General features: G+C 52.1%; 1 annotated feature.

Annotated features, from left to right (window-relative positions):
* Nucleotides 8,552–9,231: an enhancer, noted in NCBI's record as "H3K4me1 hESC enhancer chr9:67680685-67681364 (GRCh37/hg19 assembly coordinates)". NCBI's record gives its function as "activates a minimal SCP1, AML or CMV promoter by ChIP-STARR-seq in primed H9 embryonic stem cells {active_cell/tissue: H9 hESC(primed)}" and the evidence as "EXISTENCE:reporter gene assay evidence [ECO:0000049][PMID:30033119]".

Consider the following 9,661-nt stretch of genomic DNA (forward strand, 5'->3'; position numbering starts at 1 on the left):
GACAGACCGGGGAGGCAGATGGGAGTTCAGGGCAAGGAAAGTCTTGGGGGCTGCCTGGGGCGGGGGGAGGGAGATGTGGGGGGCAGAGGTAGGGGTGAGCTGCACCTGGGAGGGAACATGCACCCTGTTCCTAAGGAGACCCTGAGAGGCTTAGGGGAGACGGTAGCATGCAACAGCACCTGCTGCTCCCCTCTGCAGGAGGCCGACTCCACGGAGGACCATGCTCTGGCAGAGGAACCCAAATACGCATTTCTCCCACACCTCAGCCTCTCCTGGCCCCAAGGCAGGTACAGGCTCAGAGCTGGGGAACCGGCTGGAGACTTTCCTCTTTTTGCTGACTCTGCCCTGGCATATTCTGAGATACAGGGGTCAAGACTTCAACATATGAATTTGGGGGTCACAGTTCAACCCAGCAAGCTATACAGATCTCAAGGGTGTCACTCAGGGAGTTGACAAAGGCAGACTCCACCAAGATAAGAACCTGACCACCCCCGAGATATGTGCTCATCAGTCCCCACTGCACCCCCTCCAGAGGCGACTTTTCATTGCAGATCAGCATGACCTGTTCTAGAGCTTCCTACAGGCAGAGTCAGGCCGCACTGGCCCGCCCCAGCTCTCAGAGGCCCGCCATCACTGTGCACCCACACACCACCAGCTGTAACCCATGCACAGGACCTCAAGGTGGGCCGGCTCAGCTGCCAACAGGAGCCAGTGGTGCTGAGGTATCCAACAGGGCAGCACATGGTCCTCCCAGGAGCCGTGGCCCAGCACCTTCTGGCCGGAACAGCCATCCTATTCAAATAAACGAGTAACAAAAATGGGCATGCTCTCCACTTCCAAAAGCAATGCTGGCCAGGCACAGTGGCTCACGCCTGAAATCCCAATGCCAGAGGCGTTGGAACCAGAGCAACTCCATCTTGAACAGGAGCTGGGTAAAATGAGGCTGAGACCTGCCGGGCTGCATTCCCAGGAGTTTAGGCATTCTAAGTCACAGGATGAGATAGGAGGTCGGCACAAGATACAGGTCATGAAGACCTTGCTGATAAAGCAGGTTGCAGTAAAGAAGCCGGCCAAAGCCCACCAAAACCAAGGCGGCCACGAGAGTGACCTCTGATTGTCCTCACGGATCATTATATGCCAATTAGAATGTATTTGCTGCTAAAAGACACCCCCACCAGCACCATGACAGTTTACAGATGCCATGGCAATGTCTGGAGGTTACCTTATAAGGTCTCAAAAGGGAGGGGAGGAGACCTCAGTTCCTCTTCATCCCTTTACTTTCCTGATAAACTTGCTCTCACTTTACTCTGTGAACTCGCTCCAAATTCTTTCTCGCATGAGATCAAAGAGACCTCTCTTGGGGTCTGGATCAGAGCTCCCCCTTTTCCAGTAACACCAGCACTTTGTGGGAAAGACAGAGGCGGGAGGATTGAGTGAGGCCAGGAGTTTAAGATCAGCCTGGCCAACATAAGGAGACCTAAGTGCCTAACTTAAAAAAAAAAAAAAAGGCCAGGCATGGTGGCTTACGCCTATAGTCCCAATACTTTGGGAGACCGAGGTGGGCAGATCACTTGAGCCCAGCAGTTCGAGACCAGCCTGGACAACATTGTGAAACCTTGTCTCTACAAAAAAAAAAAAAAAAAAAAAATGAAGAAATTCCCAGGCACAATAGTGTGCACCTGTAGTCCCAGCTATTCAGAAGGCTGAGATGGGAGAATCGCTTGAGCCCAGGAGGTAGAAATTGCAGTGAGCTGAGATTGCGCCACTGCACTCCAGCCTGGGTGACAGAGGGAGACCCTCTCTCAAAAAAATAAAAAAAGAAACCCAGGCAGGCATGGTGGCACACACCTGTAGTCCCCAGCTGCTCCAGAGGCAGAGCAGAATCGCTCGAGTGCAGGCTGTAGGTCAAGGCTCTAGTGAGTTACGATTGTGCAACCGCACTCCAGCCTGGGTCACAGAGCAAGCTGCAGTCTTAAAAAATAAAAATAAAAAATAAAAGCAGTGCTATTTTCCTACAAATGAAGAAATCTCATCAGACAAATACTGCCACAAACCAGATGAAAATCATGATCTAATATTCCAACAAGAACTTCAGCTCCGAAGGGATACTACAGCACAGAATAAGAACAGAGGAGAATAAGCACAGAATAAGAACACAGGGAAGAGGTGGCCAAACGGCAGCGGAGTCTGTGGTGGGAAATGACAGAATTCAGGAAGGAAACTGAAGAAAAAGAGAAAACCATTTCAGAAATGAAGAAATGAAGTTACAGGTAATACGAGAGCACAGACACCACGGAAATCACATAAAAAAAGGAAAAAGTGAGCAAATAGAAAGAAAGAGGAAAGAGATTAAAAAGGATTAGAGAGAAAGTGACTATAAAAGACCAGTAAAGGGCCGGGCGCGGTTGCTCCCGCCTGTAATCCCAGCTCTTTGGGAGGCAAGACAGTTGGATCACAAGGTCAGGAGTTCAAGACCAGCCTTGCCAAGATGGTGAAACCCCGTCTCTACTAAAAATACAAAAATTAGCCGGGCATGGTGATGTGTGCCTGTAATCCCAGCTACTCGGTAGGCTGAGGCAGGACTATCCCTTGAACCCAGGAGGCAGAGGTTGCAGTGAGCTGAGATTGTGCCATTACACTCCAGCCTGGCAACAGAGCGAGACTCTGTCTCAAAAAAAAAAAAAAACAAAAAAAACAAAAAAAAAAAACAGTAAAGGGGCTCCAGTGTACATATATGATAGGCAAAACTCTAACAGATCGGAACAAGTATTGACTGCTTGATTTATGTGAGAGGTGATCTCATATAAGCTAGCGTTGCCCAGGCTGGGCTTGAACTTCTGGCCTCCTGAGTAGCTGGGACCACAGGTGTGCACCACAGCACCTGCTGAACAAGGATTGAAACTATCATTCAAGACCTCTTTATTGAAATGCAGGCAGACTTGCGCCTGCCTGTAAAAGCGCATGCTGTATACTTGTGTGTGTTGGCCCAGAACAGTCAACACAAAACATGCCTTTGTAAAATCACTGGACTTTAAAGATAAAGAAATAATCCTTTAGGCAGCCAGACAGAAAGACCAAGTATCTTATAAAGCAAAGAAAACCAACTTGACATCAGACATCTCCAAAGTGACATTCAATACCAGAAGAAAAAAGAAGCAATGCCTCCTTATCTAGAATTTGTGGGTAGAATTCTGTCCCCCAAAAAGGTATGTTACACTTTGGGAAACTGAGGCAGGTGGATCACTTGAGATCAGGAGTTCGAGACCAGCCTGGCCAACATGGTGAAACCCTAGCTCTAATAAAAATACAAAAATTAGCCGGGCATGGTGTGGTGGGTGGGGGCGCCTGTAATTCTAGCTACTCGGGAGGCTGAGGCAAGAGAATTTCTTGAACCCAGGAGGTGGAGGTTGCAGTGAGCCGAGATCCCGCCACTGCACTCCAGCCTGCGCGACAGAGCAAGACTCTGTCTCAAAAAAATAATAAAAATTTTAAAAGATATGTTAAAGCCTCAACTCCTGGTACCTATGAATGCAACCTTTTTGGAAATAGGGCCTTTGCAGATATAATCAAGTGAAGACGCAGTCACACCTGATTGGAGTGGGCCCTGATTCAATACAACTCACCTCCTTATAAGAAGACAAAAAAGGCCGGGTGTGGTGGCTCATGCCTGTAATCCCAGCACTTTGGGAGGCCAAGGTGTGTGGAGCACTTGAGGTCAGGAGTTCGAGACCAGCCTGGCCAACATGGTGAAATCCCGTCTCTACTAAAAACACAAAAATTAGCCAGTTGTGGTGGCGGACACTTGTAATCCCAGCTCTTTGGGAGGCTGAGGCAGGAGAATGGCGTGAACCCAGGAGGCAGAGCTTGCAGTGAGCAGAGATCATGCCACTGCACTCCAGCCTGGGCGACGGGGCAAGACTCTGTCTCAAAAAAAATAAAAAATAAAAAATAGAAGATGATTCGGCTCATGATTCTGGAGGCTGGGAAGTCCAAGTTTGAGGGGCTGCATCTGGCGAGGGCCTTCCTGCTGTGTCATCACATGGCAGAAGGCATCACATGGCAAGAGAGTGTGAGAGAGTGAGAGAACACATGCCCAGCCTCGAGGCCTTTTGTTACCTGCATGGATCATCCATGGATCATCCTAAACACCTCCCCTTAGGCCCTACCTCCCAACACTGTTGCATTGAAGACTGAGTTTCCAACACGTGTTTTTAGAGGGACACATTCAAATCACAGCTTCCCCCCTCCACCACCCATTTTAATCCTGGGCTTTGCCTGGCTCCAATTCCTCTCTTATGTAAAGCAATGGATCAGACACACAGCCTTGGGGGATCTGTGAGAACTGAAGGGACTGAGGCCTCTCTCACACAGAACCCCAAAGCCCTCCCATGCCTCCAGGACCCCCAGCAGGGAAGAACCCCACCTAACTCAGGGCCCAATCAGAGGCAGGGCCAAGGGTTATCCCTGCCCTCAGACTGGTTTTCCCAGGCTAGGGTCTGAGAACCCCGAGCAGCCAGTCCTTCTTCCCATGGGATGCGACTGGGCAGGGCCAGTGAAGGAACCCAGAGGCATGTTAGTCAAAGTGGGTTTCAGGCTCTGGGTGAGGGGTCCTGCATGGTGAGAATCTGGGCCCACCTCCCACAGAGCCCACAGAACAGACTCAAACTCAGACACCAACAAGAAGATGCCAAGGCTGGGGAGGGCAGGCCCAGCCCGCAGAGTTCCTGCAAGGACTCTTCCCTGGCTGTGGTTGGAGCAGCTGCTCAGGAAATCCCTGGCAGCAGAGTGGGCACCCCCTCCGGGCACCAGGAGGAGAGGTGTGCAGGGAGGATTCCGGGTCAGCCATTGGGATTTGAGACTCGCCTGGACACCCACATCCACTTCTCTCCCACCAGGAGTTTCTCCCATCAGGGAAGAGGAATGCTCAGATGGGCCCAGAGGCCATGCAGAAAGAAGGAGGCCTTCCCCGGGGCTGAGAAGGCAGTGATGGGAGGCCGGCCCCAGGCTTGGGGTGTGGGTGGTTTCAATTGGAAAACTTTAATAATAAAAAATTGGAAGAAAGAATGTAATTCCCTCTACAAAAATATGTCCTCGTGATGCCACGTACCCACCTACACCCACCTGACCCCAGGCACCTCCTTCCACAGCCAGCCACTGCAAAGGAGGCCAGGGAATGTGTCTTCCTGGTGCCCACGAAGGAGACACAGAGCTGGAGGGCATGGGGACCCAAGGTTCCAGGCTTCGGAAGGGAAAGCGTCCACAAGCGACCCCACAGTAATGACAGCCTCTGATGGCAGCCCCCACTGGCCAAACTACATCCCCCTGGGCAGAGTGCACCGGGCCTGGCTTCCCTCCATGCTGGTTCCAACTCACAGCCGGGGTGAGGCCAGGGCGAGGCCAGGTCCCCCCTTCACGGGGAAGGCTCCCTGGGTGCTTCCCTGGTCAGGGCTGTGCATTCTTGTCACCAGTCCCTCCCTGACCCCAGTGACTCTGGCTGGGCCTCCACCCCTGCCCAGACCCACCCCACCACAGAAGAACCTGACCTACCATTCACTCTTTTTTAAATATTTTATTTTTTCAGAGACAGGGTCTCACTGTGTTTCCCAGGCTAGAATATAGCGGCTGTTCACAGGCATGATCATAGCTCACTGCAGCCTGGAATCTCTGGCCTAAAGCAATCCTCCTGACTCAGCCTCCTGCGTAGCTACAGAGCCACAGGCCACGCCCGGCTCTCAGCATTCCCTCTTTTACTTTATTTATTTATTTATTTATTTATTTATTTATTTATTTATTTATTTTGAGGTGGAGTTTCACTCTTGTCACCCAGGCTGGAGTGCAATGGTGGGATCTCAGCTCATTGCAACCTTCGCCTCCCGGATTCAAGTGATTCTCCTGCCTCAGCCTCCCCAGTAGCTGGGATTACAGGCACCCGCCACCACGTCCAGCTAATTTTTTTATTTTTATTTTTTTTTTTAGTAGAGATGGGGTTTTGCCATTTAGGCCAGGCTGGTCTTGAACTCCTGACCTCAAGTGATCTGCCCACCTCAGCCTCCCAAAGTGCTGGGATTACAGGCATGAGCCACCATGCCTGGCTGGCTTTCCCTCTTGAGCACATGCATGTAGGCAGGAATCCCAGCCCCCTTTGCAGATGAGCAAACTGAGACACAGAGAGGTTCAGCCACCTGCGAAGGTTGCACAGCCAGGATCCACCACCTTTTCGCAGCACCCACCCTCTTCCCAAGGAGTGCCCAGTTCAGCAAGGCAGATGACACCAATCCCAACTGGGCAGCCAGGTTTTATGAGGCCAGGACAAACAGCACTGATTTGAAGCCTCGTAGAGGGGTTCAAATCACAGGCCCTGCCACAGGCTGGCCTCAGGATCCTGGGGGAGCTGTGGGCATGCTTCTGAGCTGTAGCTCCTCTATCCACCCAAGGGAGCTGGTAGCACTGGCCTTAAGAGTGTGCTGTGAGCCCGGGGGGTTGCAGCTGGGCATTGAATGATTCCTACCACCCCACAAATACCACTCTGCCCCTCCAACGGGGGCAACCCCTCATGGCCTGTCTCGGCAGCGTGGAAGTTACACTCTATTGCATCACCCCCAGGAAGATGGAGAGAGGCCCCCAGGACCTCATGAGGGTGGTTTTCTGCGTAATGAGATGCCTTGGATATTCCTAGAGGTCCGAGCCTAGGCCTCTGTCAGCACATCAGTGAATGCAGCCCTGCTGGACAAGCTCAGGAGGACTCCAGGATCCCGAGTGACACATTCCACATCCACACAGGCAGACCAGGGCCTGCAATTACAGATGGGAGGTCCCAAGGTCCAGGTGGGGGCTCCCACATGTTCCCAGGAAAGCACCAGGCAGGGAGGGTGGTGGGCAGCAGTTCTGGGCTTTGCTCCTCGCCAGGCCCCATTTCTTCATCTGTAAAATGGGGAGAAAATATTTTCCCTTCCTAACTGCATTGGAAAGACGAGATAAGCAGCCGACTGGGGAAGGTGGAACTTCCCACTCAAGCAATATTGGGCGAAATAAGTGGGTTCAGAGACTGAGCGGTGGTGCTGGCCCCAGACACTGGTGTGGATGCAACACGTCGCAGGACTCAGCCCGTCGAACCCCTGCCTGCCGCTGCACTGATGCCCCCTTCCCCCTCACAGAGCCCTGATGCCTGGCCATCCTGATGGCGGGAGCTCCCCTAGGCCTCTACAGCCATGGTCCAAACGAACCCTGCACTCCACACCGGGGCTCCTCACCACTGGGGCACCCTGGGCTGCCCTCGGGGCTGGCACTCTCGGTGGTGGGGGCCGTCCGACACCTGGTAGGATGCTGAGCGGCACCCCCGGCCTCCACCCACTAGACGTTGGTAGCATTCGTTGTGACAACCAATTTATACCTAAACATTGCCAATACTGCCCCCAGTGGAGAACCAATGACGGGTAGTCTAGACTGTCCATGTCACCTTCTCTTAGTCCTTCCCCGGACTGGGACGTCTCACAACCAAGTCCTTGTCCCACCCCACTCTCTACATCCCAGCATCCAGCACCGCCCCCTGCTGAGGGCTCGGCCAATGTTTCCTGAATGAATGAGTGGCCCCTGGATGTGAGCATGGGTCACACACCTCACGGTGATTGGGTGGGGGTTTCTCATGAGTAGAGGGACCCCCACATGCCAGGGCTGCGCTGAGCAGGGACGTCAGTGACTCCCTCTGTGAAGGCGGCCACTTGAGGCAGGATTCCAGGAGCCTCTGTCACACCCGGCAGTGCACAGGATGATTCAGAGAGAGGCTGTCCCAAGGCCTCCCGGCTCACTGGTCGCAGTCTTCCAGGTCCTCCCGCCACCCTCCACACAGCACCACTGCCACCCTCATCCCTGCTGGGCAGGAGAGGTGGTCGGGAGGGCAGACACAGGGCAGTGGGCGAGTCTGATCCGGGTTTTGTGAGGCCTCCCTATAAAGAAAGAATACAAACTTACAAAAACAAAATTAGGTATGACAGTGAATATTTATTTAGGATGAGGAAAAAAAAAAAGCAAACATACAAAATCCAGAAAACCAACATCGTGTTTTTACGAAGGGCCTGCTCCATCTCCATAACACTTCTTCTTGAACTTTTTGGCTGCGTACTTTTTATCTATCTCATTGTTTGAGAATTTTACATCACCTGTGATAGAAGGAATAGAAACATAATTGCTCTTCCTCCAGCATGGCTGATTGAAATTTGTTTTTTCTTATTTATAATTAGAACACATAGAACAGATGACTTAACACATGTGCACACAGCTTTGCAGTACAGCTAGAGGTCTGTGTACGTTAAACAACAAGTTCTGATCAATTCTATTTACAAGATTCCTGTTTGCAAAAGGAAGCAGGCCAGGCATAGTGGCTCCCACCTGTAATGCCAGTACTCTGGGAGCCCAAGGTGGGCGGATCACTTGAGCCCAGGAGTTTAAGACCAGCCTGGCCAACATGGTGAGATCCTGTGTCTACAAAAAAAAAAAAAAAAAAAAAGCTGGATGTGTAGTTCCAGCTACTTAGGAGGCTGAGGCGGAAGGATTGCTTGAGCCTGGGAGGTTGAGGCCCCAGTGAGCTGTGACTGCCCTACTGCACTGCAGCCTGGGCGACAGAGCAAGTCCCTATATCAAAAAAAAAAAAGAGGAAGCAGCAATGCTGGGTGCACATTTATAATTGTATACGATGCATTTATCAACAGACCATTTCTGCTCTGGCGAGGCCCTGATGAGAGCTGAATACTCTGCTTACAAAGGCACACGCCCGAGGACCGTCAGAGGGTCCACCGGGCGCTTGGGCTCCGTGTGTTTCAGACCAGCCTGGCCAACATGGTGAAATCCGCATCCATGTGCGGTGCAGAGCATGGCAGGGTGCATTCTCCTCCTCACCGTCTCTCCCAAGCACCTTCAGGTCGTGATGCCGAAGAAACCATCTATGCCCAGGTCTTAATCCATAAAGGTGCCTAACAGAGGTCAACGCTATTGAAAGGAAAGTCTAACATCGCTCTTGAAACATTCACTAGAAATGAGAGACGTGGCAGGCCCCGCAGGGCGGCAGGGGGAAGCCGCAGGCAGACCAGGAGGCAGAAAGGAGCTAGGGAAAGGCCAAGCCACAGCCTGTGTTGGCTTCCCTGTGAAAGCCGGGCAGAGCAGGGGAGACAGCTTGGGACGGGCTGATTTGTCTGATTCTGGGTTCCGGGGCTGTCCCTTGTGGTCTGGTTCTGGGCCTGGGTTGACACTGGGCAGGGAAATATTGGCTGGGGGTACAGAAGATGAAGGAAGTGGTTTGGAGCAGGGACTCTGGGCAGCAGGGGAGATGCTAACAGCCCTGGTCAGGAGGTTGGCCCTGTCATCATGACCGCAAGTACTCAAACGCAGGATCTAAGGAGGCACAGATCAAGGACGAAGCCAGCAGGAAGGTCAGTGGGGATGAGGGGGACTTGGGGTCTTTCTTCCTCTGCTTCCTTCCCCTTCCCACACCGGAGGGTAAATTGTGTTCTTCTGTGAAAGTCACAAGAACTCTCAGACACCCAGAGAGTTCACACACAAACACAGGAAAAGACACAAGTTGTATGACCATCTCAACAGATGCAGCCTAGTGTTTGATGACACTCACTGTCTGTTCTTAAGGAAAAGCTCAGCCCTCTGGGAAGAAAAG

Source organism: Homo sapiens, chromosome 9 (assembly GCF_000001405.40).
Source record: "Homo sapiens chromosome 9, GRCh38.p14 Primary Assembly".
NCBI classification, from domain to species: domain Eukaryota; kingdom Metazoa; phylum Chordata; class Mammalia; order Primates; family Hominidae; genus Homo; species Homo sapiens.